A 27,454-nucleotide genomic window follows, 5' to 3' on the forward strand; every position below is an offset into this window, starting at 1 on the left:
GTACAAAAATACAGTCAGAAGGAATGAGCTATCACATGCAGTATAGTAGGAAAATTATGCTTAATAGTTTATTGTACATATCAAAATAGCTAGAAGAATTGTAATGTTCTCAATACAGAGAATAAAAATGTATGAGGTCATGGGTATCCCAATTACCCTAACTTTATCATTACACATTTTAAACAGATATCAAAATATCACATATAACCCAAGAATACTACAGATATTATAATGAATTAGAATTAAATCTTCCAAACTATACACGAGGGTGTCTTTCCATTTATATAGGTTTTAATTTATTTTGGCATTGTTTTTCTGTTTTCATAGTACAAGTCTTCTGCCTCCCAAGTTACATTTATTACGAGGTATTTTATTGTTTTGTATGTTATTGCAAATGGTATTGTACTTTTAACTTCCGTTTTAAATTGTTTCTGTCTGGTATACAGACGCACAACTGATTTCCATGTGTTGATCTTGTTCTCTGACACTTTGCCAACTTTTCCACTTCTTTAAAATCCAGAATAAGTATGGCCTGAGACAAGGGAGGTTTGTGTATTCATGATGCATATGTATAGTCACGTGTATGTTGCTTGCGTATATACCATTCAATAATCAATACATAAATATAAATAATATGTATCTCCATTTTAACAACTGTAATTTATTCCTAAAGCCATATTTAAAAATAATTACATTTTTAAATGGGAAAAGTCGTATGAAGAATTCTGTCCCACCTCAAGATAACTAAACAATTTTTCAGTAGAAAAATAAATCTAAAAACAGAAAAAATATTTTAAAAGTAAATAAATCGTACATAAAACGAAGCGCAATCGAGTTTTGTTGCACTAATGCTTTCTTCCTCTTTCTACACCATTTTGTTTGCAGAATCGGCCTTTTGAAGGTTCCGGGTTACCCTGCAGTGAAGCTGTCATTCAAGCACAGTCAGGGCCCAGGAGAGGGCGCAGGGAGGGCGCAGGCGCGCAGGGAGGGCTGGGCATGCGCTCGGCGGGGCCTCCGGCTCTCGGGGACGCGCGCGGGCGGGGCTCGCCGGGGCTGAACCGGCTGAGCTTCCCAGGGACGCCCCGACCCAAGCCCTGCAGTCCGCGCGCGTCAGGGGTGTGCGCTGGAGGCCGGAAAGTCGAATATCACTTCCCATCCTGCATTTGATGTGCTTTGGGGTTGAAAAAGCCCTTATGTGGTAAAAAAAAAAAAAAAAAAAAAGTCAGAAAAGTGGCAAAAGTCTTCAACGGCCTGAAAAAGGCCGAGACAGGAACTGAGAAGCTGGCAGTAGGTCCTGCTACTGCTGCAGGGGCGGCGGGCGCCCTGGGTGGGCCACGAGGCAGGGACAGCCGAGGCTCCGCGCTCACCCCACCCGCAAGGGGCCAAGCGCAGACTCAGGGGAGCCAGAGGGGCCGGACCGCTGAGCAAGGGCTGGGGAAGGGTGAGTCAGGGGCCCCTGTGGGACTGCACGGGGTGGGGGGCACGGGCCCGGACCTCTCTCACAAATGCCCACGTGGTCCCCAAGGCTAACGCCGGCTGCGTGGGCCGCAAGCTGCTCTGGGCCCGCAGCTCACTCCCCTGGGCACAGGGCTGACACCCGGGCGAAGCAGGAGTGTCCCAGCTTGCTTCAGCCCCTCCCCTGGGCCCCCAGGCTGGTGGCTCCAGAAGGACTTTACTAAGAGGGTGGGAAGCATCAGTGCAGGTACCTGCCCTGGGCTAAGGGCCTCGTGTGGGTGATAGCCCTCAGCAGGGCCCTCCCATTTGGGCATTGGCAGCCCACAGGGCTGTGGCCGTGGAGCTGGAGTGGCAGCTCCTGGATCACCCCACACCTGCGTTCCTCAAGGCCTAGGCACCACTTGCTCCATGGTCAAAAGCATCACTTTGTGAAACGCAGACTGAGCAAAGCTGGCCTAAGATTTTGGTCCTCCAGGAATGACGGAAGGAGCCCTCTGCCCCCATGTAGCCTATAGCTGGGACACGCAGCAGCCAGTGAGTTGGTCACGGTATGAAGGCTTCTCTCCTCCCGGCAATCACAGATCCCACGCTTGGATACTTGGGAGTGAAGATGTGTTATTTCACCCACCGACTCGTTCCACACGACCAAGGCCTGTGCCTGCCCTGAGGGCGAGTTGGTTGAGCCTTGTACAGACAACTCTCAGAGCGTGGGCCTGGGCCGAACCTTTCCCTGTGAGCAGCAGCATCAGCGTCTAGAACGACGGCCCTCCCGGTCCACGGTGGAAGGTGCGGAGCTCCCGTGGTGTGCTGGCAGCGATTCGCAGAAGGGAGATGGAGGGCCACAGGGCAGGTGCTCGCACGGAGTCATCGAGGTCCAGGGACACCTTCCTCCCAGGTGAGCTCACAAAGGCACCACACATTAATCCTGGGAGACAACCATTCTGATGTGGCTAAGGCCATCGACAGGGAACATGATTGTCAGGAAACCTCAACTTTTCGATAAATGACAGCAAAACCTGAATGCAGGAGAAATGTATCTCATTTTAATGCCTGACTTCTAAGCATCCTTATTCAACATATTATATGTATTTTTTGTTTCATGAGTAAAATGTACATTGAGCTTCCTCCAGTAGCTGTCCATAGACCAGCCACTATCACTGCCATCATTATTTTGTTTCTAAACTTTTCTTTTTACACATGTAGGTCTAGCTTTTTCCTCCATATTGATGAACTAAAACTCACTCATTTCACAACTCAAAGCCAGGGCCTTCAGTTCACAGCCCGTTGCCTCAGACGGCCTTTCCTATATCTTATTGCTTCACTGTCTGACTCACTCCAGCGTGTTTCAGCCAAGTATACTTGTTTTTATTCATCTTGCTCTCTTTTCCTCCCTCCCCCAACTCCCCCTCTTTCCCTCTGTCTCTTTGTCTCTTTCTCTCTCCCCCATCCCTCCCTCTCTTCCCCTTTCTCTCTGGATGCCCTCTCTCCCTCTCTCCCTCCCTCTCTTCCCCTTTCTCTCTGGATGCCCTCTCTCCCTCTCTCCCTCCCTCTCTTCCCCTTTCTCTCTGGATGCCCTCTCTCCCTCTCTCCCTGTTTTTCTTCTCTGTGTCTGCCTGCATAATATTCAGAAATCCCAACAAGAGCAGCTGGAGCTGCTAAAGAAACCCCAGCGTTCTGTGCTGCTGCCATTGCCTCCTCCAACTGGTGAGCCCGATCGGCCCATTTTTAGGCAGTGCTGTGGTTGGAAATGGGCCCTTCCTCTGGGGTCCGCTACTTCCCTCCACCTGACTCAGAAGAATGAGTCAAGAGGGAAGAACAGCTCGTATTAGGGAGAGGGTCCCGTGTGCTGTTGCCTTTTTCGGAATCATTTCAATCATGTTTGCCAAATTCCCTACGAAGTTCTGTTCCCTCGTTTGACAATGAGCAGAGGCAGGAGAGATGAATTGCTAAATGGTTGTATCCCACACCGTGCTGGGAGGCTCAGCAGAACAGAGACCTGTGTCAAGCAGGGCTTCCTTCTCCACCAGGCCCTTCAGCCTGCATTTTAACCTGTGACTTGCGAGGAGATAGCCCGTGATCACACCACAGGCCTACTTACATGACAGGAAGCAAAATGCCAATTCCTTCTACCCCTTTCCCCCACCCCGGTAGAAACCCTGCTAGTTCTTTTTAAAAAAGGGAGAGAGATCATGTATAGAAAACCTTTTTTACAATTTATTTCCTGTTGTTAATCTTTAAAAATGAGGTTCTAGCTAAGTGCAGGGTTTCAGTGGTGAAATTTTGACCATGTGAACACATAAATAAATATTTACAGTCTTTGGCAAAACACATGACGTTTCATCAACCTATACGATAAATTTGTTTAGAAAAACATAAATAATTTACAAAAAATATGGTACATTCTAAATACTCACATCATCGTCACTCCCACACCATTGTACGGTTGACCCCACAACACAGAAACAGAAAACCTGCACGCTGTTGACAGTCGCTACATTTAATGAAGTATCCCAACGCTTCGTTGGTCTCGGGAATACAGCTCCACACGCAAAAAAGTAAAAAGTGCAGCAAAACAACAACACAACGATCAACCTCAAAGGAAACAACAAAATTAATTTTATCAAAATGCAATGTGTACATTAAGACTAAAGTTATGGATTGTTCCTGTTTGGCATAGAAATGTGATGACTATTAACAGAAAGGGGAAAAAGATTTGCCCCCTATCCATCATCAGACAGACAGACTTCTCTTACTAAACCCCTTATGTGGAGTGGGATGAGTGACTATTTCCTGCAGAAAGATCATGCAACTTAAAGCAAAAAAACAAACCAACCAACAAAAAAAACAAAAACAAAAACAAACTTGTGCATATTACACATGACTGATTATTGGGTGTGCCTGGCAAGACTAAATGCTGATTCTTTTCAGCGTTTGAATTAAAAGAATTCCATATACAGCAGATAGATAACAGTAACAAATATTGAACTAAAATCGCTGGCAACATTATATATTTAAGGTTCCATCATAAACTCCTCATTATTCTCTATGTATTCTGTTACAGCTTCTAGCATGCTTCATCGTGACAACCTAATATTATCAAGCCTCATATTTTCACAGGATTATATACTTATTAGATGTTTGTTTCTAGAAATTATACTACATATGTGTTACTAGGCATATTTAAAATAAGTTACTGGTAAATGGAGTTGCATTCTATAGTCACTTAATAAATATTAACAAAATATTTATAACTGGAACCTTAATGAAATGTATCATCAAATCAGGTAAAAGCAACTTGTCCGCAGTTACCAAAGCCTAGATACGCGTTAGATGCGCCTTTTCCGGCCTGTGCGTCTGCTCTGGTTCCTCTCAGGCAGCAAAGCTGGGGAAGGAAGCTCAGGCAGGAGCCTCCCCGACGCCACAGCGGCACAAGCAGCAGCTAAAGCACCGCACTTTGCTCTGCTAACCTTTTACTTAAATGAGGTTTTGCCAAATCCACATCTGGAACCGCGTCACACCCATTTGCAAGGATGTTTGTTCTTTGATGAAACTGCATCTCTACTGCACATGAGGGCTTTCATTGTAGGACAAGAGGAGAGTTCGTTTATTTTTGTAACTGTTTTACATGTTCCGATTAGTTAATCGGTAGCTTATGTCATTTGCTATGCCTGTTGTCTTCTAATCTCTCCTTACTAAAACATTACTTCAAATTTGAATTGACCCTTGTTTATAATTTATTTAATGGGATTTGTGTGTCATTGTAGAGCAACTCTAATTCAAGAATAGTGACAACTTTAAGCACCAAAAGTAGTTCAGCAATATTTTTCATGCTTAATTTATCATAATGGCTTATGCACAGTATTCCCTTCAACTCCATATACACATAAATACAATAAGTAATTACATTTTATATGTAAACGTCATTCTTTTTAAACAAACAAGAAAAAGCAATGTAATGGCATGCCCAATTTTCACTCCACATAAAGTCTCATATATCACCAAACTGGTTTCCTCTAGTGGGTTAGATGTTCATCTCTGAGTTCCATTGATATTTATCCTCTGAAGGCACTTGGGTTTGGGGTTGCTGGCAGGAGGTGAAGAACCATCAGAGTTAAGGTCAAGGGACAGGAGGTGCTGCTAGAGAGAGAAGCCACAAGGACCACAATGAACTGAGGTGTCTAGGGACCATGGCATGCACAGGGCATTGCCGGAAATGCAGCAAATCTTGTTTAAATATCTACAAAAAGAAAAAAAAAAGCAATAAACAATTAGCATAACTGGGCCATGGGTAGTGATTTATTTTGTTTTACCTAGAACCAGAAATATAATTACTTTAATTAAAGATGAGATCTATCATATGGATGGATGGATGGATGGATGAAATGGATGGGTGGATGGATGAGATGGGTGGGTGGATGGATGAGATGGGTCGGTGGGTGGGTGGATGAGATGGATGGATGGATGGATGGATGAAATGGATGGGTGGGTGGATGAAATGGGTGGGTGGATGGATGGGTGGATGGATGGGGTGGGTGGGTGGATGAGATGGATGGATGGATGGATGAAATGAGTGGGTGGATGGATGGATGAGTGGGTTGGTGGATGAGATGAATGGGTGGATGGATGATGAGATGGTTGGGTGGCTGGATGAGATGGATGGATGGGTGGATGGATGGATGAAATGGATTGGTGGATGGATGAAATGGGTGGGTGGATGGATGGATGAGTGGGTTGGTAGATGAGATGAATGGGTGGATGAGATGAATTGATGGATGGATGGATGAATGAGATAGGTGGGTTGGTGGAGATGGATGGGTGGGTGGATGGATGAGATGGATGAGTGGGTGGGTGGGTGGCTGAGATGGATGGATGGGATAGATGAGTGGGGGTGGATGAAATGGATGGGTGGATGGATGGATGGATGAGATGGATGGGTGGGTGGGTGGATGGACTAGATGGATAGGTGGATGGGGCTGGGTGGATGGATGGATGAGATGGGTGGGTGTGTGGGTGGGTGGATGGATGAATGGATGGATGGATGAGATGGATGGTTGGGTGAATGGATGAGATGGATGGGCGGATGAGTAGATGGATGGATGGGATGGATGGATGGATGAGACAGGTGGATGGATGGATGAGATAGGTGGGTGGATGAGATGGATGGATGGGTGGGTGGGTGGATGGAGGGATGAGTGGGTTGGTGGATGAGATGGATGAGTGCATGGGTGGGTGGCTGAGATGGATGGATGGATGGATAAGATGGATGGATAAGTGCTGGGTGGATGGATGGATGATGAGTGGGTGGGTAAGTGGATGAGATGAGTGGATGGATGGATGAGTAGGTGGGTGGATGAGATGAGTGGATGGATGGATGAGTAGGTGGGTGGATGAGTGGATGGATGGATGAGTAGGTGGGTGGATGAGATGAGTGGATGGATGGATGAGTAGGTGGGTGGATGAGATGGATGGATGGATGGATGAGATGGATGTATTGATAGGTGGATGGATGGATGGATGAGTAGGTAGGTGAGTGGATGAGATGAATGGATGGATGGGATAGATGAGTGAGTGGGGGTGAATGAAATGGTTGGGTGGATGTGTGGGTGGATGGATGGATGAAATGGATGAGTGGGTGGGTGGGTGGATGGATTAGATGGATAGGTGGATGGGTGGGTGGATGGATGGATGGATGAGATAGTTGGGTGGATGGGTGGTTGGATGGATGAGATGGGTGGGTGTGTGGGTGGGTGGATGGATGGATGGTTGGGTGAATGGATGAGATGGGTGGATGAATGGATGGATGGATGGGTGGATGGATGAGATATATGGGTGGGTGGATGAATGATATGGATGGATGGGAGGAAATGAGATGCCTTGAAAGACATCCTAACATAAGGAGAAGAAAACCTCCACAGAAGCAAGCAGATAAATCAACCCCAACAGGGTTTTGCCCTGTTGGCCAGGCTGGTCTCGAACTCCTGACCTCAGGGGATCCACCCGCCTTGGCCTCCCAAAGGGCTAGGATTACAGGCATGAGCCACTGCCCCCAGCCAAACACATGATTTTCAATGTGTGATTCTTGAGAAGCATCCTGAGCCTTATTTACTGCATCTGTGGAAGGGTAATGCGCATTTGAAGGCATGGAATTAGAGCAGATGGAATTCAAGTTATCTTCCAGGTCTATAATATTTTGATTCAAATATACCTGTAGCGAGATAACTATAGAGAAACTCCTTCCTTCCTTCTTTCCTTCCTGCCTGCCTGCCATTGCTAATGCAAGGGTACCAATCTAAAATGGCGTCAGGAGCCTGGAAGTGGAGGAAATCTAGGAAACTCTAGGCTATGGCACAATGAGGATGGGTGGGACCTGTAAATAATTGGAAAGTGTTCTACCAGAGGCATCCAAATGCAATTAAAAACAAAACAATCCAAGCTGACCAAATGAAATGGCTGCTTGGAATGTGCAGGGGGCTCATGTGTGGTATTGTGCATTAGGTTTATTGCCCTGATGTACAGCTTTTGTAAGTGGAAGAGCGCACTGTGTACCCCTTTCCCTTTCTGGGTGCCACATGCCTTCCCCACTAACCTGAAGTGCTCACACTCACCTCTGCATTCGTACTTGAGGTCTGAGAAATAGACCATTTCTTGAGAGAAGACAAATAGACCCAGCCGCCCGCCAGCGTAGGTTTGGTCATAGATAGGTCCTGAGTCTGCCATGACCTGTTTTCCTTCATGCACTAAGACTCTAAAAATGGTGTTTAAAAAGAAGAAGAGGAAAGAAAGACAACATGAACTCTGTGAAGCATTCACCAGTGATGGAAGGTTGGCTCCGGACACAAGCTGTGGATACTCCGCCCAGGGCTTCAGTGCCCCAGGGGGCATTGCTGGCTTTCTCCTTTGGAGCTCCAGCCACCCCTGGTGCAGCACTGATCCAGGGCACGCCTTCCTTCTTGCAACCACACTATTGTCACAATCTGTGAGTTCACTTACAGTCACCCAGGCAAGGGCTTTAGAGGAGACTCTACCTTTGGTGGGGTGAGGAGGAAGCTTCCCACTTCCTGGGAAGATGCACCGGACTCTCCCTACTTCACCTTGTGCTAAAACCATGAGCTCACCGGCTCTCCTCCCCACTGTGGAAGCTGCGTGGGAGCAGGACTGGATACACCAAGCCCCCGACAGGAGGATGGGGCATCAATATGAATAAACAGGAGGCCCCCTAGGGAAACGTTCCAGCGAGGCCACGAGCCTGCACTTCACCCACACAGATCTGCCCTCTATTGCCAGGGACTCACACACTCCTGGCATCTGTGCAGAGTCCAGCCTGATCTTGGTGCTTATTAACTTTGAAAAAACAAAAACACCTTGATTTTAAATTGACCACATTTTGTTTGAATAAAAATCAATTATAAATACTGTTAAGCCAAGGGAAAAGATTCTGTTGGGCTAACTGTGTCAAAACTTCATACAACCGTGTTTTAAATTCAGCCATTTATATCAGGTACAAATCTAGTCTCCAATAAAGCACATGCTAATTCTGCAAAGATGCAGTTATTTTAATTGCAGGTGTTCTCCCCTGCCTGGGGTATTCATTAGGAGAAAATATGGTTATCATCCCAAAACAAAGCAGATTGTATATTCTCCTTTTCAACCATTTTTTAAAAATACTTAATATTTAGTAGAGATGCAGGATAGAAAAGAGAAAGCAGTTAATGACGAAGAATCCAGAGTAAAACAAAAAGTTAGAATTCACTTGAGCTTATTTGTCTATTAATGTTCAAATGTGCCGTCCGATGGGAAGCCCCTTGGAAGAAATGCAGCTGTGCTGACCTGCCCTCACCTGATGTAGCCAGTCTTGGGCCTGTGAGTCAGGTGCCACCTATAGGCCGTGTAGTCCTTCCAGCCAATGTTCCTGGGGTCGTGCCATAAGGTTCGCACCTGAGAGAGAACATAGCACTCTTGAGTGCCATGGGCACCCGGAGCCTTAACCACAGCTCTGTAACACCAAGCAGGAAGCAAAAACATGACTTTGCAAGTTCATGCTTAAGGCTCATGGTGCTCCATATCTCTCTGATGTGTTTATCATCCAAATCTCTACTGTGGATTGAAGCCCATGGACAGAGTGTGGCTCAGGGCTGAGAGCCAAGGCACCTGACCCTCAGATTCCTGGATTGAAGAGCCCAGGCACCTGATCCTCAGATTCCTGGGTTCATGTCTGGATCTTCTCTTTCCTTGATATGGGATGTTGGGCAAAATTCTTGAAGTTTTGATATTCAATTCTCCCTAGCTTCAATTTTTAAAATATTTTTTTCATATTATATCTTTGATCATTATGTCCTATGCTCACTCCCTATCTCCAGAAGAGGGTAAAAGAGGTTTAATTTGTAAAAGGATTAGCAACTGTATTTAACTGGTAATTATCAACTGTGTTGAGTTGTAACCCCAGGCACAGTGTCTATAATAAAGTAAGATTATTAAAATAACTGTGCCTGGAGTTAAAATTAATAAAGACAAAAGTGGGGTCTCTGGACTGGGCTAGTCCTGCTGAAACACTCTGCAGCCACAGTGGTGCAGAGGAGATGTGTGGGCCTGGCCAGCCAACCTCACCTGCCCCGGCGTGTTCCCCGTGTGCCACAGCGCGTTCCTCAGGTGCTCGCCCGTCCCCGTGGTGGAGTTCACCACCTTGAGGGACACGCCGGAGTAGCCATAGGCCCGCGTGGGCTGGTCCTCCCAGTAGGTCTGCGTCACCTGCTTCCACATCACCACATAGAAGCGGCTGCTTGACTGGTAACCAAAGACGAAGCCGGCATAGTCGTCGTCCCGGTCAGTGTTTACGTAGAATGTGCCACTGAAGTCCACAGACCCAAACTCGTCAAAACCTGGATGCAACGCCATAAGGTTTCGTTAGAAACACCTTTCAGGTGGCCGGGAGTAGTGACTCATGCCTGTAATCCCAGCACTTTGAGAGGCCGAGGTGGGCAGATCACCTGAGGTCAAGAGTTCGAGACTGGTCTGACCAATATGGTGAAACCTTGTCTCTACTAAAAATGCAAAAATTAGCCGGGCATGGTGGTGGGTACCTGTAATCCCAGCTACTCAGGAGGCTGAGGCAGGAGAATCACTTGAACCGGGGAAAAAAGGTTGCAGTGAACTGAGATTGTACCACTATACTCCAGCCTGGGGGACAAGAGCAAGACTCCATCTCAAAAAAAAAAAAAGAAAAAAAAGAAAAAAAAAAGAAACAGGTTTCAGGCAATCCCCAGCTTGGCCCTGTGACCATCTGACAGTGGATGCCCAGCAGGCAGGGCGGGCTCCCCTCATCATCCCGATGGGCTCTTTTACCATGAGATTAGTGGAATTGAAGGTATTTCTTTTAGATCCAACTTACAAGAGTTCTGAGAGGATTATGAGGTCCCATTTCATAGACCAAGTCTATAAAATAAAATGGTTTACTGAAATTTCAGAGACTTCAGAGCGGCAGGTGCATGTACCTGTCAAGGTTATTTAGGCAGACAGTTTCACAGACCATGGAAGGATGGGGGCTTCCAGAAAGACCACATGGCATCCCACCTGCATGATCTTAAAGTGCAGTCTGCATCTTCTGTGGGCGCCTCCCCCGGAGAAATGCTGGCACCACCGCCGTGTCTCAGAGACTCACCTACAGCGATGCCGGGGTCCGAGTTGGCTGTCTGAACCAGCTCCTTGCCTTGATGGCGAATGACCCAGTTGGGATCAATTTGGGTGGTCCCTTTGGGATCCAAGGGGACCATCTGGAAGTTCCTGAAGTCTGTCTCACTGATGGCATTGTTTTCAGGACACACATCATCAATATCTGGGATGTTGTCATTGTCAAAATCATCTTTACAAATATCACCCCGTCCATCACCTATGCACAAAGAACAAGCAAAAACAAAAACAAAAACAAAGAAGCAAAGTCGGTGGTCGGTGGTTTGCCATTTGCTTTTCCGTGTCTGAGAAACATGAGTGCATCTTTCCCAGAACATCTAAGACTGAGTGCTTTGCAGTGTTTTGTGGATTCGTGCTCAACAATCTCCAAAACATTTGACTTCACAGGAACCTCAACTCTTTTCACAAAATTTTTGTGATAAATACACAGCAAAGGCCAGCACAGCAAATTCACATAAAGCCATTTCTCACCGTGTTCCAAACTCAATGCTGCAGGTATAAAACCTGAATGGCTGTCAAGTAATATCAACCTGCATTTCCAGCTTTGTGTTTGGATAGTTTTCTGAATGTCTGTTATTACTTTTCTTAGTCATCCTTGCCTTTTATAGTCTATTTGGCATTAAAGCGGAACTCACACTAAAATGGTTTTTCCTAGGGAGACATGGACTTCCGCTGTTTAGTGGGTCCTTGTCAAGTTTTCAGCGGGGTTGTGGCATGGTGGGGAGTGGGGATGAGGTGGGCCTGGTGCAAACAGGGGGACCACGAATTTGCCACATGTGTCCAGTCTATCAGTCTACGGCGATGACGATAACCTGACAGGCAGATTGCAATGTACTGAATTAGCTATCACGTGGCCTGCCGTTTTGGAGGAAAGGCAAGTTGGATTGAATATCTCATCATATTCTTCAACTAGTTTCCGTTCTGTTCAAGAACATACTCCAGCTACCACGTGGCAGGCACATAGTTGGTATCAGGGCATTCTGAAATGCTGAAATGCTGCTCTGCCTATCAGCTTCTCTCTGTCCCAGTCCCTCCCTGGGGAAAGGCTGCATGGGGAGCAAGCCCCTGCATGCCCGAACACGGAGTCCAGATGAGGCTTGCTGTGCTCACTCCATCCCTTCATGCTGCTCGGGGAGAACACAGGAGCTGCCCTTCTGATCCCAGCATCTCCCACGTACTTCTGAGTCATGCTGTCTCAGATGCCCCTCAAGTCCTTATCTCCCTCTGTCAAGGACGTGGCTTCCAAAGAGAGCCTGTGTCAGCCAGGCCCCACTCCAAGTGAGGGCCACTTTCTCACAGCCTCCCCGGAAGCCCCAGAGCACAGCTGTGCCCTTGTTTATTACTCAGGGACGCTGACTTAGAGGACTGCAGCCCATCCAGCTCCTTCCTTGGGCCCCCGTGGCTATGGGCCACCTATTCATGCTCACTGCTGAGCAAAGCAGCTCTTCCTCTCATGCTTCACACTCGTGCCACTTTTGTTGGCTTTGCTTTCAAAAAAATCCTCCTTGTCCCCTGCCTGGCCCCATACACCAAATTCCCAATTCATCCTACGTTCGTAACCCGCATTCTTTCTAGGAGATCGTCAACAATCTGGAAGTTATATGGAGGCAGGGATTTCTCCTCCTCCCGACGTGCACACACACTTGAGGCAGCACACCTGTTGAAGGGCACACACACAGCCAAGAATGTGTTGAGTGTCAGGGGAGAAGAAACTCATATTGCATGGACCCACAGCTTTAAGAGGCCCAAAGTCATTGCCCTTTTTCCAGCAGCAGATTTAAGATGATCTCCGTGCATACATATCTCTGCCCTGGCGGGTTGCTCAGAAGCCATTTTCCTCCACGCCCATGAGCTGAGAGAGCACCCACCGTCCAAGTCCTCCTGGTCTGGGTTGAACACAAGCCGGCAGTTGTCCCTGTCATCGGGGACGCCATCGTTGTCATCATCAGGGTCACAGGCGTCGCCCTGGCCGTCTCTGTCATGGTCAGCCTGGTTGGCGTTGGAGATGTAGGGGCAGTTGTCCTGGTTGTTCTGGTGGCCGTCGTCATCTATGTCCTCGTTGTTGTCACACTGGTCCCCAACAAGGTCATTGTCCACGTCGGTCTAGGGGATGGGGCGTGAGAGAAACAGCAGAGGACTGCCAGTTTGAGGAGGTGGAGAGGAACCAGCAGGACGCAAGCCTGAGAGCCGGCCTCCTCGTCCTGCAGCACAAGCCCCAGGGCCACGCAGGGGCGGCTGGCCCGAGGTCACACTGACCCTGACGTCAGGACAAGCACTGGGGCCAGGCCTCTCGGTCCAGGAATCTCTCCACCCTCTGCCACCTCTCCACAGTAATTCACTTCACTAAAGGAAGATGTGCTTCTTCGCTGGAAAAGCATGAACTACCAGGTAATTATGTCTCTTTTTTACACCATTTGCGCCATTTACACCATTTACATCATAGGATAATATATCCTATGAGCTGCATCAAGATAACTGTCCTCCCTTGTCTCTTTCAAACGCAAACCTGGAAATGAAGCCAATTCCTATGTTGGCATCAGGAAAATGGGGAGAGAATTCTGTGAAGACACAACCTCGCTCCAGCTGATGAGGTGAAGGCGTCTATTCATTTGGCCTGTGGCCACTGAGATACAAGAATAGTGCTGAGATTTGAGTTGAATAAATGTTTTCAATTGAAATCATTGAAAACTCCATGTTATCCTGTCTTTGTGGAGCTCATGGAAAACTCCCAAGGCCCCATGGAGGGGACTGATGAGGACCTGAGACCCGCCTGCCCATGGCTGCCCTCATCTGGTCAGGGTTGTGCACCAGGGGCAGTTGTCACAGTGATCCCCCACACCGCCACCGTCCCCGCGTCCCTCTGATGAGGACCTCCAACCCCGCCTGTCTGCGGCTGCCCTCACCTGGTCAGGGTTGTGCACCAGGGGGCAGTTGTCACAGTGATCCCCCACACCGTCACCATCCGTGTCCCTCTGGTCAGTGTTGTAGACGTAGGGACAATTGTCTCGTTCATTGAAGACATCTGTAAGTGTTTAAAGGGGGAAGAAAACAAAAACAAACCAGAAGGACAGGTGAGTTTAGAAAAAGCACATTGTTTTTCCTATCACACGAAATTGCTTACAGCCACACTTCTATTTAATTATAATAAAAAGACGCCTAAGAATATAGTAAAATATAAAGACTATTAGATTTTAGAAGAACATATGACATATTTCATTACAGTTCAAATACCTTTCATTTGAAATAGAACCAACTTTTGGAGATTTCTGGGTAATGTTGCAGGAGGGGTAGTTGAATGTGCTGTCGCCGTGTAAATCTGAGCTTGCTAAATTGCTTATTTCTCCCTAATACCCACTTGGAAAGTATGTGTTGAGTTCCCAGGAGTTTATCATCCATGCACATGAGTAGGAAAAAAACAATGGCAGAGAGTGGCAGGGTTTTTAGATGTCATATCTTATCTTAAGAAATCTGAAAGTGATGAGTTGCATTGATACTGAAGTTACAAAAATATAAACTAGCACTGAACTAAACAATACCATCAGTGACAGTGTCACAAATGACAGAGCAAAATGTTACACGGCAGCGAGTCCACAGGAAGAGCCAGAACTGAGCTGAGACGCTCGCCTTGCTTTGGTCAGGTGAGGTCTGGAGAAGGGAAGTAAGGAACACCTAAAAAATAAAAATGGAAGGGACTGGAGCTTGAGATCTGCATCCAGCACATCACAGACGCCATCCTGGATGGGGAGCCGAGGAGCCCCCTGGCCACCACGAGCCCTCAGACAGCAACCCACCACATTCCCAGAGAACGAGAGGAGGGTGGAGGCAGAAATCAGTGGAAAAGATCAGACTGAGAAACCCGCTGTGAGACAGAACAGCAGGTTGGGGTGGCTCAGAAAGGGGGTGGCTGGCGCCGGGCTGGGAAGAGGACCCCACGAGGCGAAGTGTGGAGGAGCTGGGGCCGAGCTCCAGCGTGGAGGCGAGCCTGCCCCCAGCTCTTGCTGGTTCTACAGAAGCACTCGCCTGGTCTCCAGGCACCCCAAGAGAAGGGATGACCATGCGGTGACAGTGGCACTGGGTTGCAGAGCTCGCTTACCAAGGCCAGCGAACTCTCCGGATAAAGCAGCAACCGGGATCAGTGGCAGAGGTAACCACAATACACCCACGTTATTCTAACTCCTAGAAGCTCAGTTTGATGAAAACATGAAATGGCTTCTTGGAATTTTTGAATGAAGGGTGAACATTAGAAAAGATGCCATGAAGAAGCACGAGGCCCAGGACTGCAAGGCTGGGGTCAGAGAGAGGAGGATACCAAATGCATAGCTTTCTCTAGGGCGGTCCTGTGGCTGGTGTCCCCTGACCTTCAGGAAAAGGCAAGGCAGAATAAGCATGGGTCCCTATGGGAATAACTGAATGAATCATTTAATCTTATAGTAGTGTAAAAATGAAAGGAGCTTATCAAAATTCAGAATAAAACATGAAACTTGCCAATGCCTCCAATTGCGACCCTTAAAATGCATGCATTGGGCCGGGCGCGGTGGCTCACGCCTGTAATCCCAGCACTTTGGGAGGCCAAGGCAGGCGGATCATTTGAGGTCAGGAGCTTGAGACCAGCCTGGCCAACATGGTGAAACCTCGTCTCTACTTAAAATACAAAATTAGCTAGGCGTGGTGGTGTGCACCTGTGATCCCAGCTACTCAGGAGGCTGAAGCAGGAGACTCACTTGAACCCAAAAGGTGGAGATCGCAGTGAGCCAAGATGGTGCTACTGCCCTGGGCAACAATAGTGAAACTCCATCTCAAAAAAAAAAAAAAAGTGCACGCATGGGAAGGAGCAGAAGCACCCACCGTCCCCATCAATGTCCACGGAGCAGGCGTCACCCTCTCCATTGTTGTCTGTGTCGATCTGGGCAGGGTTGTGCACGTAAGGGCAGTTGTCACAGCGGTCCCCAACCTCATCCTTGTCATAGTCAGCCTGGCGGGGATTGAAGAGGAGCTGGCAGTTGTCCTGGAAAACCAAGAAAGGGAAGACTTTAACGAAGATCATAGGAATGTGTGTCGGGCCGTTTAGCACTTATAAGTTATGTACTCAAGGTTGATGAAAATCAATATAGAAATCAAACAAACACAAAAGCCAGTTAGGGCTGGACGGTGGCTCACACCTTTAATCACAGCTGGGCACTGTGGCTCACACCTGTAATCCCAGCACTTCAAAAAGCCAGTCAGGGCAGGGCACGGAGGCTCACACCTTTAATCCCAGCACTATGGGAGGCTGAGGCGGGCGGATCACCTGAGGTCAGGAGTTCAAGACCAGGGCCGGGCGCAGTGGCTCACACCTTTAATCCCAGTGCTTTAAAAAGCCAGTTAGGCCCGGGCACAGTGGCTCACACCATTAATCCCAGCACTTTGGGAGGCCAAGGCAGGCGGGTCACCTGAGGTCAGGAGTTCGAGACCAGCCTGGCCAACATGGTGAAACCCCATCTCTCCTAAAAATACAAAAATGAGCCGGGCGTGGTGGTGTGCGCCTGTAATGCCAGTTACTCAGGAGACTGAGGCAAGAGAATCGCTTGAACCCAGAAGATGGAGATTGCAGTGAGCCAAGATCATGCCATTGCACTCAAGCCTGAGCGACCAAAAAAAAAAAAAAAAAGAGTTAGCCCTCGCCAAACACTTTTTCCATATCAAATCATTTTATCATTATTTATGCATCTGTCTTTTGTTGAAAATTTGTAGATTGCTAAGGCAAAAATGGTATATCATACACTTCATGGTGAGGAGAGATATGTAAATATCAAATAAATGAATGGATTAGTGAGTCAATGTCTCCCATCAAAGTCAGATGTAAAAAAGCAGTGAGTAAAATCTTGATCTATTCTTGCTAGAGCTGTTTTGTGTACAAATACATTAAACCATTTGTGTTTGCAGCAATTTTCTTAGAAAAATGGTAATATTTTAAATGTTGCCATAAAGGCAAGTCTATCACTCATGGTGGTGTCAGCCTTGCCCATCACTGGCTCCTCAGCAGAAGGAGAGGAGGTCTTCTATTTTTTTGCAGTTAAAATAGAAAAAATTATTCAAAACATTTCCGGCAGCACACCCTGGGCAGCCCCATGCACTGAGGTAAAATCCGCTTTTGCAAAGGACTGTCTTTATAGTGACCTTTGGGAACTGCCTATGCACAAACGCTTGCAGGACAATGGCAGTTACGTTGACAAGGGCTGTTTGGTATAAAGTGGCCTCCTGTGGACCTCGCTGCTCCTGGAACCCAGGGCAGGTGCGCGGCACAAGCTGCTCCTACCTTCTCATCGGTCACACCGTCATTGTCATCGTCATCATCACAGGCATCGCCAATCCCGTCCTTGTCAAAGTCTTCCTGCCCAGAATTTGGCAGATGGGGGCAGTTATCCTGCAATTGGAGAAGGAAGAATACTTGGAAAAACATTTAGGAAAGCGCCTCTTTCAGGAATGCAGGTGAAATGAAACCAGCATGGCGCCGAGGAAGGAAGCGTGCCCCATCAGTCCTCGATCTCAAGCGGGAGCTGAGAGAGGAGCCAGGAGGCCAGAAGCGCATGAATTTCTTCTCAACTCCTGCCCTGGAAATTATGTCACCACTACTCACGAGGGAGACAAAAGAAACTTGTGTTCGGAGCCCAGAATCCCAGTGAGGTTGCCAAACAACTGCAGAAACAAGAAGAGAATGACAAGGTATTGCTCTGAGAGAACATGGGAGAGAAAAGAGGCTTTAGTGGTGCTTTCCTTCCCACAGACTTCAGCTCATAAATCAAAATGCCAAAGCTTATAAACGTTTAACCCTCACCAGTCAAAAAATCTCAAAGAAAAGAGTCTTTCAAATATGTATGTGATATGTTCAGAAACCAGGGCTGAGAACTTGAAATTATCTGCTAACTCAGCTTTTCACGGTGAGTGGGTAATGCATGTAATTGGGCAAAAACTCCTTTCATTTCAGTCCAGTTATACCATAATTTAAAGCTGAGCTGTGCAGACACTAACAACTTGAGGGAATTGGAAATCCAGGAAAAGGTAGAGAGTAGCGTGTCCGTTTCAGTTTCAGTACAAGAGCCCCAAGGGTGTGTCATCCCCGTGGCTCAAAGCACATCACTCGTTGAATCAGAAGACAGAACCTGGGGTCTTGTGCTGGAGCCCAGAGTTTCAGCACTTACAGATTAAGAAAGGAGAGCATGTTGCTTGTCATGGAGGACACGGATCCCAGACGGGGGCCCCTGGCAATGGGGAGGATCCAGCACCTGTGTGTCGGGTTAATATGGGAACGGGCACAGGGGTCCCTTGTCAAGTCTCACTTTTAAATCCTTTTGTGTATGTGTATATATACATATAACTTTGCAAATTATATACCATTTTCGAAGTTATTAAATTTCCATCTAAAATTCCACAATGATGGAAAGAATAATCGGGATATCTTCTAGCAGCACGGACTCAGCTGCAGCTGACCTTCTGAAATCAGGGGCTTCAAGAAGGGTAGGCTGGGTAGCCAAGGGGTGTAACATAGGTTGGGATCAGTGCCTCGTTGATTTTAAAACATACTCATATTTTGTTTCAGTGAGTATTTGGCATCTTTAATCAAGCGGGACTGACAGAGAAAATTAACACAAAATTTGCAAGAATGATTAAATATTAAATAAATGAATATATTTATATTTTCAAATGATATTTTGTGTCAGTTTGTGGCATTTCCATGTCTGACCTTCTTAAGGCATAAAACTGCACTAAAACATTTTGGGGCACCCTGTGCGGTGGACTGAGTGGCAGTCCCCACGATGGATGTCCGCGTCCTAGTGTCTTGGCGCCCGGGGATGTCACCTGATATGGCTGAAGTGAATTTCATCTTGTATGGTAACAAGTGGAATTAGGTCAAGGACATTGAACAGTGAGGCTCATCCTGGATTATCTGGGTGGGCCCTAAATACAACCACAGGTGTTCTTATCAAAGAGAGGCAGAGGAAGTTTCCGGAGAGAAAGGCACTGGAGAAAGTGGTGTGAAGCCGACCAGAGGTCAGGGCCATGCAGCCACCAGCGCCAGAAGCCCAGCGACGCCTGAGCCAGAGAAGCTGGGAGAAGCAGAGGGAGCACGGCCCCGCTAGCACCTTGACGTTGTGTTTCAGGCCTCCAGAGCTGTGAGATAACAGATTCCTGTTGTTGTGAGCCTCCCGGGCCGTGGTGTTCGTTCCAGCGGCCACAGGAAAGCAGTCCAGCCTGGGATGGGCCCCGAAGGAGCTCCTTCTTCCAGCTGAGCAGCTCCTTATACTGCAACACGCTTGGGCTTTGGGAAGAAAACCATGTCCTAACTCTTTCCAAGTGACATAGCCTGGCCAGACCTGCCTGAGACACAATGGCCTCTGCACAGCCTGGAGCCGAGCGTGGAGCCGGCGTCCTCCCTCTGCTCAGTTTCAGGCGTTAACGATGCGCGCAATTGCAAATATGGGCCGACGTGCCCGAGGTTCTCTGTGCCCAGCAGTGGGCGGCGCCAGAGTGTGCCTGTGTCTACTAAGGACCTCCAGAGAGGGGACCAGGGGGATGCATTCAACCTGGTGATCAGGCAAGAGGCCTGAGAGACCCTCCTTCCAAATTCCCTGTGCTGCCCCCGCCCCCCGTCCGCGTAGCGTCCCCGGCGCCAGGAGGAGGGCTGACCGCCGTGGCCCCGTGTGCCCTGCGAGCCCCGCGCCTCACCTTGATGCAGTGGTAGGTGGCGTTGGTGGCGCAGACCAGATTGAGGTTGGGCCAGCCGTCCAGGTCCGAGTCCTCCCCGCAGATGAGCCCGTCGCCCGCGTAGCCTGTCTGGCACTCGCACTTGTACATGGGGTCGCTGAAGTGGCCCAGGTAGATGCACTCCGCGTGCTTGTGGCAGTTGTGTGTCTTGTCCTTGCATGGGTTTTCGGGCTCACACACCTACGGGGAGAAGGGCTGCGGGGTTAGCGACAGGCAGGACGATGGCTCCGGAGGCGTCGAGGCGGGGCGTCGGGCACCGCAGGCCCCAGCAGGTCCGGTCCCAAGCGGACCCAAGTCCTGAAGTGGGAAGGGCTTTCTGGACACGCACTTGAGGTGCTGTTCGTTCCTGAGGCTCCGTTTGTGACTCAGCCATCGTTTCTGAGCCTCGGCTGCAGCTCACCAAGGGCTGCGCTAACAGCGGAGAGGTGGCGGCCTGACCCTCACAGGCCCGGCTGAGCACGCCCCGCACCCCGCGCGGAGAGCAGCGGCCCAGCCGAGCAGGTGCTCAGCTTCCCCGGGCCAGCCCCTCCCATGCCTCTCCCGGGCCACGCCACCCCTTCCTCTCCTTCCTCCTGCTGCTTTTCTGAGCTCATCTGATTTTTCCAAAGCCGCTCGCAACACACAAGGAAGGCCGGCCTTGCGTACTTGCTTTTCCGTCTTGGCTGCTTCCAGGCCGACCCCGACGGGCTGGTTCCCTCTGTATCGGGGCGGGCAGGGCAGGCAGTGGAAGCCAGGCTGAGTGTTGACACAGCGAGGCACCTTGCTGGTGGAGAAGCAGATGTCGGGGACCAGGGCACACTGCGGGGACAAGCAGACATGAGAGGCCGCTCCCGACCTCAGGGCGCCCACAGCCCAGGGCGGGGTCACCCACCTCGTCCAGGTCCTCACAGTGGGTGCCATTGCCCAAGAAGCCCACAGGGCAGGAGCCGCATGACCAGGACCCATCGGGGAAGCTGCTGCACTGGGCTCCCGGGAAGCAGGGGTTGGATAAACAGCCATCTGGGTGGGAGAAGGCGGAGCAGAGTTCACCACGCGCCCTGCGCAGCACAGAAGGAAGCCCGCCCTGTGGGCCGTCAAACACTCTGGGATGTCTTTGTCATCGAATTGTGTAGTCAGGAACACTCTGGTGTGATTCTGGATGATCATCAAGAGGCATCATCTCCAAGACCGCATTGCTCAGGTGGACACAGTGCAGCGGGTTGCAGAAGCACGTGTACATTATGACTACACGCCACGGGCCACACCACACAACTACCCACACGCCACCTTCCACAACACACAACTGCCTACGCACCAGGTTCCACAACACACAACTACATGTCAGGTGCCACACCACAAACCTACCTACGCGCCACGTTCCGGATCACACAACTACCCACGTGCCACCTTCCACACTACACAACTACCCACACACCATGTTCCAGACCATACAACTACCACGTGCCACCTTCCAGACCACACAACTGCCCATGCACCACCTTCCACAACACACAACTACACCCCAGGTGCCACACTGCACAACTACCTATGCACCACATTCCAGACCACACAACTACCCATGCGTCACTTTCCACACCACACAAATACCTACGTGCCATGTTCCAGACCACACAGCTGCCCACGCACCACCTTCCACAACACACAACTACACCCCAGGTGCCACACCACACAACTACCTATGTGCCACGTTCCAGACCACACAACTACCCACACGCCACCTTCCACACTACACAACTACCTACACACCATGTTCCAGACCACACAACTACCATGTGCCACATTCCAGACCACACAACTGCCCACACACCACCTTCCACAACACACAACTGCCCACACGTCAGGTGCTATACCACACAACTACCTACATGCCACATTCTAGACCACACAACTACCCATGTACCATGTTCCAGACCATACAACTGCCCACGCACCACCTTCTACAACACATAACTACATGCAAGGTGACACACCACACTACTACCTACATGCCACGTTCCAGACCACACAACTACCATGTGTCACATTTCACACCACACCGCTGCCCATGCACCATGTTCCACACCGCACAACTACCTACACACCATGTTTCACAACACACAGCTACTCACATGCCACGTTTCACACTACACAACTACATATTCCAGACCACACAACCACCCAGATGCCACAGTCCACACCACACAACCACCCAGATGCCACAGTCCACACCATGCAACTACCCACACACCATGTTCCATACCACACAACTATCTACATGCTATGTTCCCAGCCACACAACTACCCACATGCCACAGGCCACACCACACAACTACCCACACACCACATTCCACACCACACAACTACCCACACTCCACATTCCATGCCACACAACTACCCACACACCACATACCATGCCACACAACTGCCCACATTCCACAGGCCACGCCACACAACTACCCACATTCCACAGGCCACACCACACAATTACCCACACACCACATTCCACGCCACACAACTACCCACATTCCACAGGCCACGCCACCTGGCATCTTTTTTGTTTTTACATTAGAAATACAGGAGGACTGAAACACAGATGTTAAAAGTAGTTATCTTTGCGTGTGCAACTAAAATTGATTTTTCTTTTCTGTGTTTTTCATCTAGTTTCCCAAAGCGTTTGTGCTTTTCATCAGAATGGAAGCCCGGGTTTCAGTGCCCCCGCTTCTACCCCTCACTCACCCACGGGGCAGCTCCTCTTGTTGCACATCTGACGCTCCTGCACATCCCCCACGCAGGCCTTCCCTCCGTACTGAGGCTCAGGGCTGTTGCAGACCCGGGTGCGCTCCCGGATCCCACCGGCACAGGTGACAGTGCAGGCCGACCACGGGGACCAGGGGCTCCAGCGGCCATCGACTGCGGGGAAAGCCAACCAGGGGGAGCTCAGAGCAAGACCCGGGGTGGAGAACGTGAGTTGGCTGAGTGAGAGGGAAGAGCAGGTGGGACATGGTGTTCCCTACACAGCCCCACAAACTGGTTTCTCCCCAGGTTGGCTGACTACAGGTCAGAGCGTGATCGCACCACTACGCCTGCTGCAATGGTGGATTCCGGGAGTGACTCAGAAGCCAGTGTTTCCAATGGCTTTGCTGCGATCTCTTGGCCTCCAGAAGACAAATCATACCACCTCTTCTTTTTAATAAAAGAATTTTTTTAATAGAGAGGGTCTCGCTATGTTGCCCAGGCTGCTCTCAAACTCCTGGCCTCAAGCAATCCTCCTGCCCCAGCCTCCCACAGTGCTGGGATTACAGGCATGAGCCACCGTGCCCGGCCCCACACCACCATTTACACCGAGAAGCTCAGAGCTCCTCGCCAAGCTGTCCCTCTGCCATGGAGGGTGGCCTCAACTCAGAAGCCTGGTATGACACCGAATGTCCTCACAGGCAGTTCCCATGAGGCGTGAGCACAGCTGAAGGCAATCCCTGCACACCCTCTTTTTCTCAGCACATCCATGCACTTCCCGAGCCAGGCCTCCCTGGGGAAGCCCTTGATGCTTTGGGCCAAGCGCTCTGTAACTCACACCCTAGTCTGCACAGACGCAGGGAAAGGCTATTTCAGAGAGACACAGTTCTGTGCATCTGCGGCATCCTCTGTCCACACTCACTACTCAGTCCAAACTCACTCCCCGTCCACACTCACTGCCCATCCACACTCACTCAGTCCACACTCACTCACTTCCATCCACACTCACTGCCCATCCACACTCACTGCCCATACAACTCACTCCCCCATTCACACTCCCTCCCCATCCACACTCACTCCATCCACACTCACTTCCATCCACACTTACTCCCCATCCACACTCACTCCCCTATCCACACTCACTCCCCCATCCACATTCTCCCTCCCCCATCCACACTCTCCCTCTGTCCACACTCACTACTCAGTCCAAACTCACTCCCCATCCACACTCACTCCCCCATCCACACTCACTCCCCCATCCACACTCTCCCTCCACCATCCACACTCTCCCTCCCCCATCCACACTCCCTCCCCATCCACACTCACTCCCCATCCACACTCACCATCCACACTCACTCCCATCCACACTCACTCCCCATCCACACTCATTCCCCCTTAAACACCATCCACACTCACTCCCCATCCACACTCACTCCCCATCCACACTCATTCCCCATCCACACTCATTGCCCCATAAACACCATCCACACTCACTCCCCATCCACACTCACTCCCCATCCACATTCACTCCCATCTATACTCACTCCCCATCCACACTCATTCCCATCCACAGTCACTCCCCATCCACACTCACTCCCCCATCCACACTCACTCCCCATCCACACTCCCCATCCACACTCACTCCCATCCACACTCCCCATCCACACTCATTCCCCCATAAACACCATCCACACTCACTCCCCATCCACACTCATTGCCCCGTAAACACCATCCACACTCACTCCCCATCCACACTCACTCTCCACATTCACTCCCATCTACACTCACTCCCCATCCACACTCATTCCCCATCCACACTCACTCTATCCACACTCACTTCCCATCCACACTCACTCCCCATCCACACTCATTCCCATCCACACTCGCCATCCACACTCACTCCCATCCACACTCGCCATCCACACTCACTCCCATCCACACTTACTCCCCATCCACACTCATTCCCCCATAAACACCATCCACACTCACTCCCCATCCACACTCATTCCCCATCCACACTCACTCCATCCACACTCACTCCCCGTCCACACTCACTCCCGTCCGCACTCACTCCCATCCACACTCACTCCCCGTCCACACTCACTCCCCATCCACACTCACTCCCCCATCCACACTCACTCCCATGACAGAGCTGCGGTGCTGGATCATTCTTCCTTTAATTACAGTCTGTCCTGAACTGGAATGAAACGGGGCTATCTCAGAGGAGGTTTGCGCTGAGCACAGGTGAGCAGAATTAATCACAAAGGATGGGTTCATTACCGAGCCAGGCCCGGGATGGCAGCCCCCTTTGCTGCTCGGCTGGGGCTGGGCTGGGCTGGAACAGGCCCTGACACCCCGGATCCCGGCTCCAGCTGTGGCTGCTCACTGTGAGCTGCCTGCAAGCCCGCCCACCCAGGGCCCCGCCTTCACCGTACTTACTTGGGCATGGGGCGCCCTGGCAGGCTTTGGTCTCCCGGCCACTCCCTTTGCAATTCTTGCCCCCCATCTGGGGCACTGGGGAGTTGCAGAGACGGATGCGTGTGATATTGCCAACTCCACAGGTCACAGAGCATGAAGACCAAGGTGACCAGTGGCTCCAGCCGCCGTCCTGCCGGACTAACACAAGAAGCGGAGAGAGATCAGGCTGTGCCGCCTAGAGGGGTATTTGCCTGTAAGCGGTGTGCCTTATTAACCGAGGAGCATCTCACAGCTGCTGAGGAGAGGGAAGGAGAACCCCTCCCATCAGCTGGGAGAAAGAGCCTCACCTGGCTAGAATCCTTGCAAAGGCCCAGCACCTCGTGAGGGCAGCTCTGTCCCTTGCAAAGGTCCCGATGACTGAGAGAAACGCGGCCCCACCCCCACAGGCACGCGGGTGTCACCTGCCCGACACTCACTGCGGGTGTCACACTTGCTCAGACTGCAAGCCCGTGTCTGGATGGAGGGCCCCAAGCAGGTGTTGCTGGTGACGTCACAGGACCGGCCTCTCTGCTGGGTCCCAGAGCCACACGTCACGGAGCACTGGGTCCACTCTGCCCACGGAGACCAGCCCTCCTCACCGTCCACCGCTGCCAGAGGAAGCAAACACGGTGGCATCAGGCCCTGCCTCACAGACGTGCCACAGAACAGAACGGGCACAGGGCAGCTGGCGTGGGGCCACAGTTCATGCATCCAGGAATCTGAGGGGCCACTGCCTGGCTGGGGCAGGTGGACATCCCAGTGGCTGGGCCGTGGCTCCGTGGGACCCAAGTTTGTGACCTGCACGGGAGTTCAGGGACTGCCTTTCAAGAGAAGAGCAAAAACGCCTTTCTGGGTCTACTATTAGGGTGCTGAGGGGAGCTAAATCCATGTGTGTCCAGGAAAGTCTCTTAATCGATTTTATAAAATAGCTTGCCAAAGACAGTGTTGAATCTTTTCTACATGAGGTTTCATTAAAGTTACAAAAATGTAACGTATTTCCATTTAACCTCTGTTCGCTGATTTACATAATGTAGTGAAACATTTCAATTATTGGTGAAAATTACAGGTCACTTATTTCCAAGTAAACTGAAACAAGCTAATAAAAAGGAGATTCCCTGTAAAGAAATTCTTCATAGGTAATCACAGCCGCTAAATGGGGGGAAAGAGCAACCTGACGCCAGAAATCATTCCCGTGAGGAGAGAAGCCCAGTGAATGCGCCATGACTCAGTGTTCTAGAAAGCAGGGAAATGAAAGAAAAGAAAAATGGTCAAGGAGGTCTTTTCCTGGTCATGATGCTCCTGATAACATAAAATGTCTCCTTCTAGTCTAATGTGGGCCCTTTGATTATCAAGATTATATTTTTATGCTTTGCCAGGAGCATTCTGACTTTGTGAATACCTAACAGGCACTTTTACGCATATTGAATTGTTGGTTTTAATTATAAGACTAACTGTATAGGGGATACATTTTCTGCATGTTACAGGCAATAAATTTGAAACTCAGAAAAATCCCATTTTATTCAAAATCACAGAGTGGCAGAGCGTGAGCTCTGAGTCCCTTCATTCTCTGTCCACATCAGAGGTAAGGTGCCCTGAGGATGACACAGCTCTGGGGCCACAGGGACATTCTGGGAATGTTTGGGGGATGGTGACTAGTTTAGTTTGGGAGAAGCGTTGCCTGATCTTAGTGCAGCAGCAACTTGGGGTGTAGACCTGAAGCACCTTGCCAACGGCACGGCACTGGGGAGCCACGGATGGCTCAGGAGCTCTGGGTGGGGTCAGCAGAGCTAACTTGGGAAGGGAACTCGGGGCAGGGGTGGGAGGCAGCACAGAGACCTGAGGGCAGCGTTGGGGCCAACTCAGTCTCTGAACGTGCACTGAGTTTCCAGGGTGGCCCAGGAACCCCCAGGGTGCCCACACGTGGTTCCTCTCCATCTCAGGTTCTGTTCCTTAGAATGTATTTCTATCCCTTAGAACATATTCTTCGGATAACAGTCTTTGGTTTTTGTTTGTCTGATTTTCTATTGTTTTTTCCAGGAGTGTGTGTACAGTGATCACTTGCTGCCATAACACAGTCACAGATCTACGTGTGTTCTCTGACTCTCAGCTGGGGCTCCATCGGGGCCTGCTCTGGGCTCACCTGCGTGACCACTGGGCTCAGCTTCCTCGTCTGAGAAGCATCAGGACTGGCCTTCCCACCCCCGCGTTCCCAGGGCTTCCACACTCCTTTCTAGCCATGAGTCAGTCCTCAGTGGATGACCAGTGGCCTGGGGTGGCCCTCTGATTCTCTCACCTGTACTCAGGGGGCTGAACCTCACTCTTCTCTGCCAAAACCAACCAATGAATAAATAAACAAACAAGCATGGAATTCCTAAAAATGCAGGATGCGCTTGCCGGCTGGCGA

General features: G+C 49.9%; 1 protein-coding gene and 2 long non-coding RNA genes across 8 annotated transcripts in view, besides 3 other annotated features; 2 read left to right on the forward strand and 1 right to left on the reverse strand.

The window, feature by feature from the left end:
- Positions 814 to 1,163: a silencer, noted in NCBI's record as "silent region_17794". NCBI's record gives its function as "represses an Ori minimal core promoter by ATAC-STARR-seq in GM12878 lymphoblastoid cells {active_cell/tissue: GM12878}" and the evidence as "EXISTENCE:reporter gene assay evidence [ECO:0000049][PMID:35858748]".
- THBS2-AS1 (THBS2 antisense RNA 1) lies at positions 1,075 to 27,428 on the forward strand. The gene is made up of 3 exons (NR_134621.1): positions 1,075 to 1,441; positions 2,037 to 2,350; positions 27,088 to 27,428. It is a non-coding gene; the product is annotated as a THBS2 antisense RNA 1 (long non-coding RNA).
- THBS2 (thrombospondin 2) overlaps positions 3,648 to 27,454 on the reverse strand; it is a 38,062-nt gene continuing 14,255 nt past the window's right edge. For 2 of the 6 annotated variants that reach the window (NM_003247.5, NM_001381942.1), the window contains exons 8-22: positions 25,488 to 25,658; positions 25,033 to 25,209; positions 22,597 to 22,770; positions 20,753 to 20,880; positions 20,527 to 20,679; positions 19,843 to 20,061; positions 17,435 to 17,542; positions 15,985 to 16,144; positions 14,043 to 14,161; positions 13,008 to 13,242; positions 11,111 to 11,338; positions 10,060 to 10,331; positions 9,293 to 9,390; positions 8,061 to 8,200; positions 3,648 to 5,692 (exon numbers count right to left, since the gene is read on the reverse strand). In NM_003247.5, the coding sequence (NP_003238.2) occupies positions 5,685 to 5,692; positions 8,061 to 8,200; positions 9,293 to 9,390; positions 10,060 to 10,331; positions 11,111 to 11,338; positions 13,008 to 13,242; positions 14,043 to 14,161; positions 15,985 to 16,144; positions 17,435 to 17,542; positions 19,843 to 20,061; positions 20,527 to 20,679; positions 20,753 to 20,880; positions 22,597 to 22,770; positions 25,033 to 25,209; positions 25,488 to 25,658 (2,390 nt within the window). In that variant the 3' untranslated portion in view covers positions 3,648 to 5,684. Of the gene's footprint in view, positions 5,693 to 8,060; positions 8,201 to 9,282; positions 9,391 to 10,059; positions 10,332 to 11,110; positions 11,339 to 13,007; positions 13,243 to 14,042; positions 14,162 to 15,984; positions 16,145 to 17,434; positions 17,543 to 18,704; positions 19,288 to 19,842; positions 20,062 to 20,526; positions 20,680 to 20,752; positions 20,881 to 22,596; positions 22,771 to 25,032; positions 25,210 to 25,358; positions 25,659 to 27,454 lie in introns of those variants that run through there. The other 4 variants (NR_167744.1, NR_167745.1, NM_001381939.1 and 1 more) reach the window with 4 other exon arrangements.
- Positions 11,896 to 13,095: an enhancer, noted in NCBI's record as "CDK7 strongly-dependent group 2 enhancer chr6:169624128-169625327 (GRCh37/hg19 assembly coordinates)". NCBI's record gives its function as "activates an origin of replication core promoter dependent on BRD2, BRD4, P300/CBP, MED14 and CDK7 cofactors, with strong dependence on CDK7, by STARR-seq in HCT116 cells {active_cell/tissue: HCT116}" and the evidence as "EXISTENCE:reporter gene assay evidence [ECO:0000049][PMID:35650434]".
- LOC124901470 (uncharacterized) lies at positions 13,214 to 13,817 on the forward strand. Its single transcript, XR_007059889.1, has 2 exons — positions 13,214 to 13,527; positions 13,658 to 13,817. It is a non-coding gene; the product is annotated as an uncharacterized LOC124901470 (long non-coding RNA).
- Positions 21,143 to 21,343: a silencer, noted in NCBI's record as "peak6323 fragment used in MPRA reporter construct". NCBI's record gives its function as "represses an SCP1 promoter by STARR-seq MPRAs in K562 erythroleukemia cells {active_cell/tissue: K562}" and the evidence as "EXISTENCE:reporter gene assay evidence [ECO:0000049][PMID:32103011]".

The sequence above is a fragment of the Homo sapiens genome, chromosome 6, assembly GCF_000001405.40.
Source record: "Homo sapiens chromosome 6, GRCh38.p14 Primary Assembly".
NCBI lineage: Eukaryota > Metazoa > Chordata > Mammalia > Primates > Hominidae > Homo > Homo sapiens.